Raw genomic sequence first — 17,770 nt, 5'->3', positions numbered from 1 at the left:
TTACTGATGACCTTGAGAGGAGAGGTCAGCGGAGTGGAGCCCCATAAGAGTAGAGTCAAGAGAGAGCAGGAGGAGAGGATGTGGAGACAATGAGTCTAGACAACCCTTCCAGAAGTTTCTCTGCTAAGGGAAGGAGAGATCTTTTTTTTTTTTTTTGAGATGGAGTCTCTCTCTGTCATCCAGGCTGGAGTGCAGTGGCGCAATCTCAGCTCACTGCAACCTCTGCCTCCTAGGTTCAAGCAATTCTCCTGCCTCAGCCTCCCGAGTACCTGGGAGTACAAGTGCCCACCACCATGCCTGGTTAATTTTTGTATTTTTAGTAGAGACGGAATTTCGTCATGTTGGCCAGGCTGGTCTTGAACTCCTGACCTCAGGTGATCCACCTATCTCAGCCTCCCAAAGTGATGGGATTTCAGGTGTGAGCCGCCGTGCCCAGCCAGAACCATTTTTAAGATAAAAGAAATAACAGCAAGATATCTGTTCATGGGATGCTCTAGCAGAGAGGGGGACCCAATGATGCAGGCGGGGGCCCTGCTGGAGTGATGTTCTCAAGCAGACACAAGAGGCCAGGATCTCTGCAAAAGTGGAGGGGTGGCCTTAACCAGGAGCAGGAACACTTCACCCACAGATACAGAAGAAAGCAGAGCAGTGAGTGCAGACGCTGGCAGACAGTGAGTGTGGCACTGGGAGCCTCAGGACGCTCTGACTGCTTATATTTTCTCAAAGATTATCCGCTGAAAGGAAGGGTGGGAGAGGCCGGAGGGTGAGGGTAGAAGAGCAAGTGAGGGCCGGGCACAGGGGCTTATGCCCATAATCCCAGCACTTTGGGAAGCCAAGGAGGGCAGCCGAGGAGGGCGGATCACTTGAGGTCAGGAGTTCAAGACCAGCTCTGGCAACATAGTGAGACCCCATCTCTACACACACACACAAAGAGCAAGTGTGAAAGAATCATCTAGCATGTGGGAGAGGCGACAACTTCAGAACCTGTGCTGTGCCTGGTGGACTGCACTAAGGACCCACCTGAAGTTCAGAGTTCATGGGCTTGGACTGAAAGTGAGAACAGTCAGGGCAGTTGTTTTGCTCAGCCCCATTCAGCTGCATGTGCAGGAGTGGGGTAGGCCAGGCATTGGATTTAACCAGGGTTGGGGTTTTGCCAAGAAAGTGTGAAGAAGCAAAATGAGGTAAGGGAATTGGGGTCTGCAAGTTAGTGGCAGGATTATCCTGGCTTCCACAGGGGCAGCTGCCATCTGAGCTGGCCTAGCCCTGCTCAGGGCCCTCCCCTGCTGGTGCCTGAAGCCCACCATCCATCCCCTGCAGTGGGCTATGTGTGGCTCTTCTTTCTGCCTGCATCTCAAAATGAGCTTCTGCAAGGGGGCCACAGTTGGGGCCACCAAATGAGCTTCCCACACACCATTCCTCTGGCCTGGAAAACACCTCAGACCTCATACACTCAAAACCTCCATCTCCCTTCCCAAGCCATTGCACAAGCTCATCCTTCCCACTCTCCCTATCTCTAGTCAGACACAAGGGCCTGTCCGTTCTGCTTCCTAAATCTCTCCCAGCTCCATCCCCTTCTCCGATACCCCCCAGCAACACCCTCCCAGCAGGGCCCCCAAACCACACAACTCCACTCTCTCTATATGCCACAAGCAGCAGCCCCAATGCTGTCCCCCCTGTCTTGTGCTGGGTGCTGCCACAGCCTCCTGGCTGGTCTCTTTCCCATGTGCTGGCCCAGTCAGCCCCACTCCATCCTCCTCAGAGTGCCTTTCCAACACTCCAAACTGCCTCATCATCCCCTCTTCAAAACCCTTCAGTGGTTTTGAAGTGCCCTTGGGGAAAAGGCCAACCCCTCAGCCCACATTCCAGGCTAGCTGTGGCCTGGGCCTCCCTTCCTGTCTGGCCCCCATGCCCTCTCCCCTTGCTGTGCCTCTCACTACTTTCTCTGGGCTTCCCCTCTCCCCCACCAACAGCACCTGTCTGAGTTGTGGCTCCCCCACTCCCAACCCTGAAGTTTTGAGCTCCCTGAAAGTTTCTGTCTGCTTCTCTATTCTCCAGCATCTGGTCTGATGTAGGGGTTCAGTCAGATTTGCTGACCTGGTGCGCAGATTACCAGGTAGATGAAGCTTCTGGAGGTAGGGAAGGGGGAGGAACAGAATTGAAATACAGGGACCCCTGAGCCAAGTGACCTAACTTACCACCACCTACTACAGGACAAACTAATAACAGGTGCCTGCCAATATCATGCACTGAGAAGGACATGACATCATCTATGAGATATTCTTGCCCCAAAATGGTTAACTTGACTCTAATCACAAGCAAGCAAGAAGACAAATCCAGGATGTGAGACGTATCACAAGCCTTCCAAATTGACAATGTCATTAAAAAAAATCTCAAAAAAGCCAGGGATTCATCCAGATTGAAACACTAAAGAGCCATAATAACTAAATGCAATGTATGTTCCATGATCAAATTAAAAAAAACAGCTATAAAGGACTTTACTGAGACAACTAGAGAAATTTAAATATGGACTACATGTTAGGTTAAACTGGATGATTACTAAACTTCTTGGGTATGATAACAATGCATTATTTTTGTAGAAAAATGTCCCTGTCTCAGGAAATTCATGCTGAAGTATTTAGAGGTGAAGTGTTATAATGTTGGCAACTTACTTTCAAAAGATTGAGAGAGAGAGAGAAAGAGAGAGAGAGAGAAACAAATGTGGCAAAATGTTAACAACTGGCAAATCTAGGTCTCTAGGTGAAGGGTATGTAGGTGGGTGTTCACTATACTATCAGCTTTGACAAGATAAAAAGTAAGGTGGGAGAAGGAAGGGAGTGGAGGGAGACGTTCCAAAGAGGGGAGCTCAGGGGTTGGAATTTTGGGGCAGGAGTCAGAGGAGAGGACATTCCTTCCCCAGGGCAGTCCACAAACCTGAGCATGCAGAGCTGTGGGCCAGCCCACAGGCCAGCCCAGGCCAGGCAGGCACAGCGCTGGAGTGGCTTACCACCTGAAAAGGGGGCCAGACCCTGAGGAAACGGACTCACCTGTGGGCAAGCCGGCTTAGAGGGACAAGGAAAACAAGCTGGTCCCAGGGAGACCAGGGCAGGAACATGGGCCCCTCCCCCTCCATTGAGCTGTGGCAAGGAGCCAGGTCTGGCCCCAAGCCCACCCAACTCCCCCAAACACCCCTCAAGGGGCGACAGCCTAAGTGTATCCTCCTGTTTGGAGAGCCAGTCTAAATACGGAGCCTCAGACATAAGATGCCGCTCAAAACAGATTTTCCTGGAAAAGACCATCTGGCAAAGGAGGTCTAGAGCATCGTCTGTTGTGAGAGGCAGTGTTGATCTCCTGCAAGCCAACGTCCGGAATGGGAATGCCTTGATCCCACCTCCCTAGGAAACTACAGCTTAGTGCTTGTTTTTCCCAAGGTCACCCTCTTGCCCAGATGGAGAGACACTCTATCCCACCTCCCACCTCTCTCCTAAATTGTGTCTCCAGGGAAGAAGAGGAGAGGATGGGGACACAGGTCTGAGTATCAGACAGTTCTGGCCAAGTGCAAATCCTCACTCTGCCACTTACTAACCAGGAGACTTTGAACAAACAGCTCTACCACAAAATGGGAATAAGGGTAGTGCCTCCCTCTAAAGACTGTTATGAGGGTACTTAGCACATATGCTCCATATGTGGAAGCTAGGTGAGGTAATACCCCCCAGCCACACTCTCTCTCTCAGTCCTGTCTAGAGCAGGAAGTCATTCCTTCCAGCTATCTTTGCTCTCTCCCTTCAGGGAAGACCCTGGGAGGCACTATTTGTCAGGTCTGCTTGTGGAGCGTGCACCCCATAGTTGTCAGACCAGGACAAGCTGCAGCGGGGAGGCCTCTGGGGGCATCCCTGGGCTGCAGGGTGCAATTCACCCAAGCATTGAGACTTCAACCTTGCAAGAGGCACCAGTGAGGGAGGCCTTCCAAGGACAACCCAGTCATCCTCCTTTAGCTGGGCCACACCCACCTACTCACCCCACTGCGTGGGAATCTTTTGGGGGCTCTGGCCAAACCCTAGGGACCTGCTATGTTTCCACCAGGACCAAACTTTGCAGTAGCCCCACTCAAAAGCCCCTGTTCCCTGCTTCCCGCATATATTGGGGAAAGGGGCTGCTGGGAGGACAGCAGGCACATTTTACTGATTCGGAGATCCCAGGCCCCAGAACTTGTAGCTTCCCTGGGAGACAGGTTCCTAAAGTCCTGGGGAGAGGGTGGAAGAATGAAAGAACGACTGCAACTGCCCTGGGCCACGGGTTGGGTTTGGAGGCAGTCCCAGCCCAGTGAACCCCCCCACCCCCAACCACTATTAAGCAGCTCTTGTTTGTAGGATCTAGAAAAAGGAACTGGGGAACCCAGGAAAGTCCAAACCCAGGCTGCCCACCTGCCCTGGCCAAATCCTGAGCCCTCTCGCTGATCCCCATCAAATTCAGCCTGGCTTATCCCCAGGCTGCCAGGAGTCTTAGGCCCTCTTCCATTGTGACTGCTGCTTCTGCTCCCTGTTCTCTTCCTGGCCCCCCCAAGATGGCCCCAAGACAAAGGGGTGGGCTTGAGACAGTGGCCCCCTGGGCCTATGCAAAAACAATGCCCCCAGTGATCATTCCGGGGAGTCCCTGCATCCTCTAGGAACAGCTGAATACCTCCTCCTCCGAGGGGGCCCGCTGGGCAGGGTTGTCCCCAGTCTGGACTCCCTCTGCACCCAGCCCCAGCAGCCCGCTCCTGGGACCCCTCCCTCCCGCTGCCGCCTCGGCCATTATGTGCCTCCTCAGCCCTGACTGCCACGCCCCCGTGCGAGCCCCCGCTCTAGCTGCAGAGCCGGGGAGGCCTGGCCGCCAAGCAGGGCTGTCAAAGTTGGGAAACTGGAAACAGAAATAAATCCTCAAAGCTGCAGCCTCGTGAAGGTGGCTGCCGGCAGGCCCCGGTACCCAATGCCCCGATCCCCGACCACCAGGCTGCCACTGGCACCCCCCACGCACACGCGTACCCCCAGATTATACAAAAGCGGGGAGAGGGTAGTGGGTGGCGGAGCCGGGAGACAATCGGCCCGGCAGCCCCCACCGTCCCTCAGGCTGGGCTCGGGCTTTCCCGCGGCGCCCCCTCTCCCCGGCCCAGACCCGGCCAGCCCGGGCTTCCTCTCTCGGCCCCATCTCCATGACAACCGTATCCTTCGGATGCTCCAGACGCCGCGGAATTGATCTGGAAATGTAGCTTTGTTAGCGGACCCGGGTGGGCACCGAGGGCGAGGGCGACGCCCCCCACCCGCACGCGGCCCTCTCCCCGGCCCGTCCCGCCCCGGCCTGGCCGCCAGCGGGGAGGGGCGGGTCCCGGAGCCCCGCGGCCCCACTCACCGCTGCTGGTCCCCGCCGCGGGTCCGGCCTCTCACGGCGGGGCCATCGGAGGCCGCCGGGCTGCCTGTCCCGCCCCGCCGCCGCCGGTCGGAGCTGCCCGCGCCCGCCCGCGTCCCTTCAGGTGCCGGAGCCGCGATGTGGAGAGGCTGAGCGAGGGGGACGGACGGCAGGAGGGAGGGAGCGGAGCCGTGAGCTGGAGGAGGAGGAGGAGGGAGGAGCGGGAAGGGCGGGGAAGGGCGGGGGCACTGCGGGCGCGCGAGCGGCGGGCGCGGAGCCCGGAGGGAAGCGCGGCCCCCAGCCCTGTCCGCTTGCAGCGCAGCGCTCGCCCCGGGACCCCGAGCGTGCCGGGGAGAGCGCGGCCCACCTTGTCCCCCTCTGCCCCGCGCGGGCCCTTTAAGAAAGGGGGGGAGGGGAGCGCCCGGGGTTCTGCCCCCTCCTAGCCACGCTGGGCCCCTGCCGTCCTCGAACCCTCGGGCAGACCCAACCACCTCCGCCCTCCAGGCAGGACCCACCGGTCTAGAACCTGAGCTCTCGGGACCCGCCAGGCCCTGGAGGTGAAGGAGGGGGCGGGTCCTGGCCCTCCTCCCGCGGTCTGTTCAGGGAGTGACCCCTGCCCCCAGCCCCCCGACACACACGCCAGCCCCCGGGAGACGCCGCCAAGGGAGGAGCAGGGAGTGCGGGGGGCCAAGGTGAAGAATCTCAGAGAGGGAGACTGAGCCCCTGAGACCTAGAGTCACACGGGACGGGACGGAGACCTGGGCTGTGGGGTGAGAAGGAGCCTCGGGACAGAGTGGGATGGGAGGAGGCAGGAGAGAGGAGAAAGAGACAAAGGAGAAAGAACCTGAGGGAGGCGGGAGGTGAGGGGTGGGTCCAACCAAGAATCCACATCCCTGTGCCAGGTCAAGGGGAAGCCTCCCTGGGCAGATATAAGGAGACAGAGAGAGACAGAGGGTGCCCTGGGCAGAGGAAACCATCTCCCAAGGCACCTGTCCCACGGTGTCTCCCCAAGGGCAAGTCAAGGCCCTGAAGCCGCCCCCCTCAGCCCAGGACTCTAACTGAAGAAGAGGGTTGACTGGCTGTACCTGGGCTAGACATTAAGAACTTCCTGGCTGTGAGGCACCTGCAGAGTAAGAGTCCGCCTCTCAGAGAGGCATTAAAGGGCCCCCACCCACAGGGATCTAAGGAGGGCGTGGGGAGCAGGCCCAGTGCCTGGGAGAAGGGAAATCAGGATAGAGTCAGGCCCTGCCACTGGAGGCCACTTTCTACCCCTCTCCCCTACTCCAGCCCCTGGGGGGTTCACCACACCCAGTTGCTTCCATCTCCAGACCTCAGCAGATGATCCACACTCTGCCCGGTGGGGCCTTGATCCTGCTGTGCTCAGTGAACTCCTACTGAACCCTCAAATTCCTCCTTAAATGCCCCTTCCTTCATGAAGTCTTCTCTGACCTTCTTTCCACCCATGAACACACAAACATGGACTCTTCTTAGGGAGCAGGAAGAGGATTTGCTGACCTCTTAGGGTGGCAGTAATTGGAGGTGTGGAATCTGAGCTGTGCGTAGTCTCCCTCCCTTCAAGCTGGGCAACAGCAGGAGCTGGGACTTCATCAACCATGGTGACACCTCTGACAACCAAGCATCTACCAAGTGCTCTTCATGTGTCATATTTAATTCTCAAAACAATCCTACAACCCGTTTTACAGATGAGAAAACTGAGACTTGGAGAGCATAAGTCACTTGCTCATGATCCCAGGAGATCTGAATCTGTGAGCACAGCTGGTCAATTAAGAGGGCACTCAGACCACATCCTTCACTGCCCATCAAACCCTAGGACATTACCGCAGAGCCCAGAAACAAGGGAGCCACTCTCTGTGCAGGTGCCCAGGATCTTAAAGGGCACAGAGGGAGCTTGGCTTCCCTGCTGTCCTGCATTCTACCCCCCTGCCCTCTGCTACCTGTAGGCAGAGAAGGGTGGCGACCAGCAGGGGCTGTGGAGGGAAGTGCTCATGGCAGGGCTTAGATACCACATTCCCCACCCTTGGCACCCATGCCCTCAAGTCACAGCTGGACCACCTTTCTGGGCTCCTACTTCCTCATCTGCCCAATGAGGATGGTAGCAGTCCCCCTCTTTGTGAGGCTAGGATGGGGACCGAAAGAGCTGATGTGCTCAAGACCTGGCACACAGATGCACTCAATGGGCCATGGCTGTTCCAGCTGTAATGATTACTTACTCATGGAATGCACTATTTAATTGTTGTCCACTGGATGGACTCTGAGCCCCTTGAAAGGGTTCACAGTGTATCCTCAGCACCTAACACTCAGCATGGCTTAATAAATTATGTGGAAGGAAAGAACAGGGAAAGGGGAAAGGTAGACATAGCTGTCTCTCCAGCTAACTTGCGCTGGGCTGGCACACAGAACCTAGTCTCTGCCCCCTGGATCTGCCCCCTGTCCTTTGTAGCTCTGGGAGCCTGTGGCAGGGGCAAGGAGACCCGGGTTCTAGTCCAGTCCCCCCAACCCACACTTCCTAGCTGTGTGGCTATGGGCAGCTGTACCCTTTCCTGAACCTTCCTTTCCCCTCCGTCAAGTGGAACTAGCTCCCTAGGGCTCAGAGGGCTGCCTGGAGGCCACAGGTGAGCTCTGTGTGAGTGTTCTGGGTGCCATGGACACTGGAGAGGGGAGTATTGTTACTGTTCCTTGTGGCTACCTTCGCCTCCTGAAAGACAGCAGGGTCAGGCTGGGAATGGTGGCTCACGCCTGTAATCCCAACACTTTGGGAGGCCAAAGTGGGTTGGATCACTTGAGGTCAAGAGCTCGAGACCAGCCTGGCCAACACAGTGAAACCCCCCTCTCTACTAAAAATACAAAAATTAGCCGGGTGTGGTGATGCACACCTGTAATCCCAGCTACTCCGGAGGCAAGAGAATCACTGGAACCCAGGATGCAGAGGTTGCAGTGAGCCAAGATCGTGCCACTACATTCCAGCCTGGGCAACAGAGCAAGACTCAGTCAAAAGAAGAAGGAAAGAAGAAAGAAAGACAGAAAGAAAGAAAGAAAAAAGAAAGAAAGAAGGAAGGAAGGAAGGAAGGAAGGAAGGAAGGAAGGAAGGAAGGAAGGAAAGACAGAAAGAAAAAAAGAAAGAAAGGAAGGAAGGAAGGGAAGGAAGGAAAAGAGAGAGAGAAAGAGAGGGAGGGAGGGAGGAAGGAAGGAAGGGAGAAAGAGAAAGAAAGAAAGAAAAAAGAAAGAGAGAAAGAAAAGAAAAGAAAGAAAGAGAAAGAAAGACAGCAGGGTCAACATCCCCCTACCCAGGAGCCAGAATAGACGATATTTCCCCCATTCCTCAAGGGAAAGAAGAATGCGCAGCTTCTCCCTGTTCCTCCAAGTGACCTCCCTTTCCTCCCCCACCCCGCCTCCTCACCTGAGGGGGTCTCATAAGAAGCAGGTGCCAAGGCTGAACCAAAGACCCTTGCACATGGAGGGGCCTTTTCCCATGGTTTACCGCCTGGCCCTTGACTGGTCCCCAGGAGAGCATGAAAGTTATGGGGGGAGGGGGGGCCAGCTGCATTGGGCATGGTCAGCACCTTGGGCAGGGACAGAGGGACCCACCAATTGGGAGGACTCATTTGGGTCCAACCCAGAAGAGGCTTGACTCAGAGGACCCCTAAAACACCCAATTCTCCCATCTTCCAGCTGGAAGCCTGAGGCCCAGGTGGGGTGCCTGGGTAGGGATTCCCCAGGCCAATCCCAGAGAGCTCAATAAGCACCTACTGTGTTCACAGCTTTGTTGTAACCTGCCCCTGTCCCCAGCACCCCCACGACCCCAAGATGAAGGCCCCAATTCACCTATTCTATGTCCCCTCTCCTGACACTTCCCACCTCAAATTTGATGTCCTAGGACCCCTCCCACACTCATTCCCCCTCAACCATTTCTAGTGACCTCCCTTTGCTTAGGCAGGCTCTCTGCCTGGGATGCCTTCCCCTTCACGCACTCTCATTTGGCTAATTCCTCTCCACTCCCCAGCTACCATCCCATTTCTCTTTACCTATTACAGCAAAGCTCCTTGAAAAAGTTGTCCATGCTGGCTGTCTCTAATTCCTGTCTCTCAAAGGAACTCCAGTCTAGCTCTTATCTCCCTGTACAGTCCACTGACACCACTCATCAAAGTCACCAACACAGTTGCTGAGTACAGATGTGCAGGCTGGGCACTGCACAAGGGTGCTGGGTTACATGAAGGATGGAGAGGTAGCTAAAACCCAACCTGTTCTCCTTTCACCATGCTGTGTGTCCTGATGCAAGGTTGTATCTGTCAGGGGAAGAGATGCCTTTTTCTTTCTCTTTTTTTTTTGTTTTTTGTTTTTTGTTTTCTGAGAGAGGGTCTCAGGCCAGCATAGTGCAGTGGCACAATCATGGCTCGCTGCAACCTGAGTACAGTGTTAGCTGTGGGTTTTTCATAAATGCCCTTTATCATGTTGAGTTCATTCCCTTCTATTCCTAGTTTGTTGAGTGGGTTTCTTTTTGTTTTTGGTTTTGTTTTGTTTTGTTTTTTGTTTTTCTTTTAGAGACAGGAATACCCAGGCTGGAGTGCAGTGGCATGATCTCAGATCAGTGCAGCCTTGACTTCCCAGGCTCAAGCGATCCTCCCATCTCAGCCTCCCCAGTAGCTAGGACTACAGGCATGCACCACTATACCCAGCTAATTTTTATATTTTTTGTAGAGATGGAGTTTCGCCATGTTGCCCAGGCTGGTCTTGACTTCCTGGGCTCAAGTGATCCTCCTGCCTTGGCTTCCCAAAGTGCTAGGATTACAGGTGTGAGCCACTGTGCAGAGTGCCTTTTTCTTTACAGCAAGGTATCCACCTTCTGTTTGCCTGTGTAGCCAGGTCCACCTGGAATGGCCACCATTTTCTTTTCTTTTTTTATTTTTTTGAGATGAAGTTTCACTTTTGTTGCCCAGGCTGTAGTGCAATGGTGCAATCTCGGTTCACTGCACCCCCCACCTCCTGGGTTCAAGCGATTTTCCTGCTTCGGTCTCCCGAGTAGCTGGGATTATAGGCGCTCCCCCCCACCCAACCACCACACCCAGCTAATTTTTTGTATTTTTAGTAGAGACAGGGTTTCATCATGTTGGCCAGGCTGGTCTTGAACAACTGACCTCAGGACACCCACCTCAGCCTCCCAAAGAGCTGGGATTACAAGCATGAACCACAGCACCCGGCCATGGCCACCATTTTCTAAAGTTTGTACATGGTGCTAGACTGTGGCCTAGTCCTCAGTGACTGCCACAATGCTAAATCCAAAAGTCCATTCACAGGCCTGGTCTTAGCTTCCTGACAGCATCTGACACCGTTCATCCCCGCTTCCTCCTTGACATACTTTCTTCCCTTGACTTCCAGGACTCCTCACTGTCATGTTTTTCCTCCTGCCTCTCTGGCTGCACCTTCTCATCTTCCTTTGCTAGTTTCTCCGCCCCTCTCTGACCTCCAATGCCAGAGCTCCCAGGGCTCAGTCCTCGGTCTTCTCCATCTCACTCTTTCCCATGATGACCCCAGCCCAGCTTCAAAGCCCAGCTAAACCCTGAAGCTTCTCGGTGTGTGATTCTCCAACCTGGACCTTTCCACCTGAGGTCAGACCCCAACACCCAAGTGCTGACCTGAAGTTGCCACTAGGATATCCAAAGAGCAGTTCCATCTTAACCCAACCCACACTGACCTCCTCTTCCTCTTTGCCGTAAACATCACGACCACAAGGCCAGCCTGGTCTCGAATTCCTGGGCTCAAGTGATCCTCCTGCCACAGCCTCCCAAAGTGCTGGGATTACAGGCGCGAGCTCCCGTGCCCAGACTCAAACCAAGTCTTTACGCAGGCCACAAAATCCCATAAGATCTGGCCCCCACCACTCCTCTGACCTCATTCTCCTGCAGACACACCGGTCCCCTCCCTGTTCCTCCAAAGCACCAGGGACACTCCCACCTCAGCGCCCGCCCGGCCCCGTGCTGCTCTCTGCCTAAAACACTCCTCCCCCAGGTATCCGCACCGCCCACCCCTCACTTCCTTCAGCGCTCTCTTCCAATGTCACCTTTTCTGACCACTCTACTAAAATTCTACCCCCTCCTTCATCCACATCTCCCATTTCCCCGCCTTCTTTTCCTCCATAACACATATGTATATACCATATGCTTGTCCTTTCTGGGAATGGTCTGTGTCCCCACCACCGCTGCCATCACTAGGCCATAGGCTCCATGAGGGTAAGAATTTTCCTCTCTCCCTTGTAGATTCCCAGGGGGCTGGAACAGTGCCTGGCACCCAGTGGGCATTTACTGAAGCACTCATATAATGAGTGCCCACTATTCCTAGTTTGTTGAGTGAGTTTCTTTTTGTTTTTGTTTTGTTTTGTTTTTTGTTTTTCTTTTAGAGACAGGAATACCCAGGCTGGAATGCAGGGGCATGATCTCGGCTCACTACAGCCTTGACCTCCCAGGCTCTAGCGATCCTTCCTTAATAAAGGAAGAAGTCAGCTGTAAATATTAGAAGGGCTTCGAAACACACAAACAAACAAAACCTGGTGTGTGACTGCAGCTGGCTGGTGGGTAGGGCTACTTCAGTCAGGTGTTCAGCGAAGGCCTCTCTGAGGAGGTGCCCCCAGGCCGGGCAGGTCTGCCTCTATCACAGCACATGTCATACTGTGTCGTGACTGTCTGGACTGGACACTCCATGAGCGCAAGGACCCTGCACACTCCCTCTCAGTCCCCAGCTCCTCCCTGAGCCCAGGGCCTGGATGAAGTTGGTATCCAAAGAGTGATGAACCGAAGAATGAATGAAAGAGTGAGTGGCCAGGGACAAACGCATGCCTGGGCCGCAACCCTGACAGGCCCACAGTAGGGAAACCGTGCAGTCAGGAGCCGGGGCAGGGAGCCACGGAGGCCTGGGGAAGATCCCTGGAGCCCCCGGTCTGGTCTGCAAACGAGGACAACGTGACCCACCACTCCCATGTTAGCCAGGAGGGAGCGTGGGGAGGACTCACACTCTTTGCTCACTGGACAGCCCTGGCTGTGGGGGCCAGCAAGGCTGAGGTAAGGGGCCAGTCACCTGGAGGAGAGCAAGGCCACGGGCTGGAGAAAGGGAGACTGCCCAAGCTCTACGACCTGCCTGTGCAATCCCTCCCCCAGCGACGAGGCCCGGCCAGCATGGGGCCAGGGCTGGTGGACAAAGCCCCACAGGAGTGCCAGGGACTTGCAGTGCCGAGAGCCAGCCGGCAGCCGGCCGCCGGCCCAGGGCCCCGGCAGAGCCTGGCCCAGAACGGCATCTAAGGGCCTTTGTGGGCCTCCGGGAGCCTGTCCAGGAGAGTCCCGGGAACTGGCCGGGGTGGTATGGGGTGGGCAGCCCGCGCTTCCGGAGGTCCAGCTGGCCGTCCAGGCCTGGGTTGATGGGGGTTAGGGGGAGAAGCCCCTTGTGCCCCCCCCAGTCTCTACCCTAGTGGAGGTCACCCCACCCTGTCCCAGGAATTCGCAGCTGCTAGAATTAGAGTGGCCAGTCCGTGCCATCACCCGCACTGAGGCCCAGGGAGCGGGGCGCGCGGCGCGGTTAGGGTTGAGTTCGGGTTGAAACTGACCCTCCCCTTAACCCACGCGCTCCTCCAAGAAGCTGGGCGGGGAGAGGAGGGCAAGACTTTTTCCAAAATGAAGGGACACGGGACATGTCGAGTCCTGCCCAGGGAGGAGCGGCCAAGCCGGGAAGGTTCCCGCAGGGGGAGCTCGGGCTGGGGGAGCCGGGCCAGGCCTGGGCACGGGTTCGGGGGGGGGCGCGGGGGGGGCGGGCTCTCCGCCTCCCTCTGCTGGCCAGACGCAGAATTTCCAGACTCCCCGCGTCCCAGTGCCCAGCACTGCGCGGAGTCTTCCGCGAAGCGCAGCCCCGCTCGCCCGCACTCTGAAAGGAAGCGAATACAGGTCATATGGGTCATCCTCCTACCGCAGCACCAGGCCCAGCGGCGCCCCGAGTTCAGCCGCAGGCACTCAAAAATCAGCCTGCGCGTCGGGATCCCGCCCGTTCTCAAAGTCTCCTATCCGCTCCAACCCGGGTATTTCCTCAACTTTGCCCAGGCTGTCTCCGAAGGCCGTGCCGTTACACAACACGGATGGAAAACAGGCTCCCCAACTATCCCATGGTGACCCAGACCCCCTCTTCCTTGTGCCAGAGACCACAGAGAATTGAGAGGAGTTCACGCACGGGTCCCCGTGCAGCGGGAAAGATCGCGGGTCTAACTGGCCGAGATTCAACAGGCCGCCCAGCCCAGCCCCTCCCGGCCCTGGGAAGGCCAGCGACGGGGGCTCTTTTGGGGTCGGGGCGCCACCTGCTGGTGTTTTTGGAAACTGCACCCGCGGCACCAGGCGGACTCCTTAGCTGGGAGAGAACACCAACAAACGCTGGTTGTGGCAGCTGACTGCTGCTGAGAGTGTTCTGTGAGCCAGGCTCATGCTGAGTTCTTGCCACGCATGACCTCATTTCACCCTTACAGCACTCCTATGAAGTGGACATGATTGCCATTTTACCTATGAGGACACGAGCTCAGAAAGTTCAGTGACTTACCCCAGAGCACCCCTAGTAAGTGGCAGAGCCCAGGCCCCCCTTCGTCTGTGCTGGAACTGGGCTTTCTGTTGCACTGGGGCGTGGGGGTGGAGTGGAGGGGCAGAATCCATCTCAGCTTAGCCTGCAGCTCAGGCATGGTAGGAGCCCTTGGTCTTGTTTGCCCCGTTCATGCCCATGACCTTCTCCGCTGACAGCTTGAGAGCGCTTCTAGGACAAGGCCAAGGCAATCTGTTTTCATGCCACCTCCATCTAGCACTGCTAAGTGAGTGCCCTCCATGTGCTCAGCCTCTCTCACTTGGGAAGACCACTGGGGCCACACATCCCACACACCCCCCAGGCCCCAACCCGTCCCTCCTCACTCCCCGGTTCGGATGCTCGTGGAGGTGTACTGTAAGTGGTTGTGCGAGTGACAGAATCCCAACTCAAACTGATCAGTGAAAAGGGGTTTCTCTAAATGGAAAGTCAAGTTTAGGAGTAGGTCAGGCAGTACAGAAGAGGCTTTCAAATGTGATCTTTCTCCACATCTGTAGCCCAGTGCTCTTCTGCACTGCCTTCATTTCCAGGCAGGCTCTTCCAAAAACGCGTCAAGTTGGCTAAGGCAGGTCTGAGCTTACGTCCAGCTTTGAGGGAAGAAGCCGTCCCCATTCCAACAGTGCAGTACAAGCAGAAGTCTCAGGACTCAGTCTCATCGGCCCAGCCTGGGCAACATGGTGAAATGTGAAATGCTCCCAGCCCTGAACCAATCACTGAGTCACCAAGAGTCACTGCCCCTTTGAAGTGAAGCCTGGAGTCAGCCGCAGGTGATCCACCACATGGACTGACTGATGGTGGGTGGGGATTTGTCCCAAAGGAAAATGGGGGAATGTTTCAGGAGAATGGGGACAGCTGCTGCACAGCAAACAGCTCTAATGTCCATGACACCTGGGCATACCAGAAAGCCACCTTTTCTTGACCCTAACTCATTTTAAAAATGTATTTATTTATCTATTTATTTATTTTTAATAAAGCGAAGCAGGGTCTTGCTCTGTCCCCCAGGCTGGAGTGCAGTGGCAGCGATCTTTGTTCGCTCCGGTCTCAACCTCCTGGGCTCAGGTGATCCCCCCACCTCTCTGCCTCCTGTGTAGCTGGAACTACAGGCACCCGCCACCACACCTGGCTAATTTTTGAATTTTTTGTAGAGACAGGGTTTCACTATGTTGCTCAGGCCGATCTCAAACTCCTGGGCTCAAGAGATCCTCCTGCCTCAGCCTCCAAAAGAGCTGGGACGACAGGTGTGAGCCACAGCGCCCAGGCTATTTATTTATTTTGAGACAGGGTCTCACTCTGTCACCCAGGCTACAGTGCAGTGGTGTGATCACAGCTCACTGTAACCTCAAACTCCTGGGTTCAAGGGATCCTCCTGCCTCAGCCTCTCAAGTAGCTGGGACCGCGGGTGTATGCCACCACTCCTGGCTAATTTTTAAATTTTTTGTAGAGACAAGGTCTCCCTGCATTGCCCAGGCTGGTCTCAAACTTCTGACCTCAAGCGATCTTCCCACCTCAGCCTTCCAGAGTGCTGGGATTATAGGCGCGAGCCACTGCACCCAGCATCTAACCCATTTTTAGATTGGAGACCCCTTCCCACATTATCATACTTCCTTCCTTCACTGATTCATTCAACAAATATATATTGAGTCCCTACATGTACCAAGCACTATTCTAGGTGAGCCATATCAGTAAACAAAAAAACACAAAAATCCTTGCCCTCCTGAATCATGCTTCCAATGGAGGTGGGAGGAGAGAAGAAACAAACATAATAAGTAAGTGAAGTATATAATATTATAGACAGTGACGAGCATCACAGGGAAAACAGGCCATCAGGAAGGCAATGAGGGCCGGGCACGGTGGCCCACACCTGTAATCCCAGCACTTTGGGATGCCAAGGCAGGCAGATTGCCTGAGGTCAGAAGTTCAAGACCAGCCTGGCCAACATAGTGACACCCCATCTCTATTAAAAATACAAAAATTAGCCAGGCATGGTGGTGCATGCCTATAGTCCCAGCTCCTAGGGAGGCTGAGGCAGGAGGATTGCTTAAACCCAGGAGGCAGAGGTTGCAGTAAGCCGAGATAGCACCACTGCACTCCAGCCTGGGCAACAGAGCAGACCCTGAAAAAAAAAAAAGGAAGGAAGGGAGGGAAGAAGGGAGAAGAGGAAAGGAGAGGAGAGGAGAGGAGAAGAGAAGACAAAGAAAGGGGATGAGAAGGGTAGACAGAGTGAGAGGTGTTCCAACTTTAAATAGAGTATTATCAGTGGGCACTTTGAAAGGATGAAGTTGAACAAAAGACAAGAAAGAGGTAGGCTGGGCGAGGTGGCTCACGCCTGTAATCCCAGCACTTTGGGAGACTGAAGTGAGCAGATCACCTGAGGTCAGGAGTTTGAGACCAGCCTGGCCAACATGCTAAAACCCTGTCTCTACTAAAAATACAAAAAAAAATTAGCCAGGCGTGGTGGTGCACACCTGTTATCCCAGCTACTCAGGAGGCTGAGACAGGAAAATCATTTGAACCCAGGAGGCGGAGGTTGCAGTGAGCCAGATCATGCCATTGCACTGCAGCCTGGGCAACAGAGCAAGACTCCGTCTCAAAAAAAAAAGGGGGGGAATTTGTCATGTAGACATATGGCAGGAGAGATTTCCAGGAAGGAAGAAAAGCCAGTGCAAAGGCCCTGGGGTGGGAATATGCTGGGCATGTTCATGGACCAGCAAGGAGCAAAGGGAACAGGGAAGGATGTGGGAGGTGAGAGCAGGGAGGCAGCAGGGGCCAGATGATGGAGGGCGTTGTAGGCCATGATGAGGACTTTGGCTTTGACTCTAAGTGACATCAGGAGCCACCAAAGTTTTGGGCCAGAGAATTGATTTGATCTGACTTATATTTTTAAAGGCTCCCTCTGGCTGCTGTGTTAGAGATAGATTGGAGACATCAGAGCCAAACCCAGTTAGGAGGCCATCGAGATGTCAATTAGTGATCTAAGCAGAGATGTCAGAGTGGCAGACAGAAAAGTCTGGGTGGAGATACACATTGGGGATGAGTGGGTGAGGTCACCACAGGAGTCGGGGAGGGCCGTGTCACAGGACCAAGAATGGACCCCTGAGGCCCTCCCACATTAAGAGCTGGGGGAGGCCAGCGCAATGGCTCACACCTGTAATCCCACCACTTTGGGAGGCAGAGGCGGGTGGATCGCTTGAGGTCAGGAGTTCAAGACCAGCCTGGGCAACATGGCAAAACCCCTCTCTGCAAAAAATACAAAAATTAGCCAGTGTGGTGGTGCGTGCCTGTAGTTCCAGCTACTTGGGAGGCTAGGGTGGGAGGATCACTTGAACCCAGGAGGTTGCTGCAGTGAGCCGAGATCATGCCACTGCACTCCAGCATGGGCGACAGAACAAGACCCTGTCTAAAAAAAAAAAAAAAAAAAAGAGCTAGCAGAAGGAGAAAGGGGAAAGGGGAGAAACAAGAAGAGGGACTGAGAAAAAGCATCTGTGCAGAGAGGCAGAGGAAAAGAAAGAAATCCTGTAAGCCAAACAAAGAGACAATATCGAGGAGAAATGAGACTGAGTGAGTCAGAAGCTGCCGATGAAATCAAGTGAAACAAGAGCTGAAAATCTCCCTTGGCTTTAGCAGCATGGAGGCCACTGGGGACCTTGACAAGAGCCGTTTTCGTGGAAAAGACTGGGGAGAACCCAACAGCAGGGTTATGAAATAACAGTTAACAAGCAGCCTGGGCAACACAGCAAGACCCTGTCTACAATTCATAAACTTCAGAGCAGCA

General features: G+C 54.9%; 1 protein-coding gene across 4 annotated transcripts in view, besides 4 other annotated features; it reads right to left on the bottom strand.

Moving 5' to 3' along the window:
* PSD2 (pleckstrin and Sec7 domain containing 2) overlaps positions 1-17,770 on the bottom strand; it is a 101,992-nt gene that overhangs the window by 43,106 nt on the left and 41,116 nt on the right. The window contains exon 1 of one of the 4 annotated variants that reach the window (NM_032289.4): positions 5,386-5,553. The exons of the other annotated variants lie outside the window; for them this stretch is intronic. The gene's annotated coding sequence lies outside the window, so the exon portion shown is untranslated. Of the gene's footprint in view, positions 1-5,385; positions 5,554-17,770 lie in introns of those variants that run through there. 4 annotated transcript variants of the gene reach the window in all.
* Positions 5,835-6,034: a silencer, noted in NCBI's record as "fragment chr5:139174912-139175111 (GRCh37/hg19 assembly coordinates)". NCBI's record gives its function as "represses an EF-1alpha promoter that drives an FKBP-Casp9 reporter gene in an ReSE screen in K562 erythroleukemia cells {active_cell/tissue: K562}" and the evidence as "EXISTENCE:reporter gene assay evidence [ECO:0000049][PMID:32094911]".
* Positions 10,819-11,319: an enhancer, noted in NCBI's record as "H3K4me1 hESC enhancer chr5:139169627-139170127 (GRCh37/hg19 assembly coordinates)". NCBI's record gives its function as "activates a minimal SCP1, AML or CMV promoter by ChIP-STARR-seq in naive and primed H9 embryonic stem cells {active_cell/tissue: H9 hESC(naive and primed)}" and the evidence as "EXISTENCE:reporter gene assay evidence [ECO:0000049][PMID:30033119]".
* Positions 13,104-13,253: a silencer, noted in NCBI's record as "silent region_16432". NCBI's record gives its function as "represses an Ori minimal core promoter by ATAC-STARR-seq in GM12878 lymphoblastoid cells {active_cell/tissue: GM12878}" and the evidence as "EXISTENCE:reporter gene assay evidence [ECO:0000049][PMID:35858748]".
* Positions 13,634-13,823: a silencer, noted in NCBI's record as "silent region_16431". NCBI's record gives its function as "represses an Ori minimal core promoter by ATAC-STARR-seq in GM12878 lymphoblastoid cells {active_cell/tissue: GM12878}" and the evidence as "EXISTENCE:reporter gene assay evidence [ECO:0000049][PMID:35858748]".

Source organism: Homo sapiens, chromosome 5, assembly GCF_000001405.40.
Source record: "Homo sapiens chromosome 5, GRCh38.p14 Primary Assembly".
NCBI classification, from domain to species: domain Eukaryota; kingdom Metazoa; phylum Chordata; class Mammalia; order Primates; family Hominidae; genus Homo; species Homo sapiens.
This window is presented reverse-complemented; position numbering and strand designations above follow the sequence as displayed.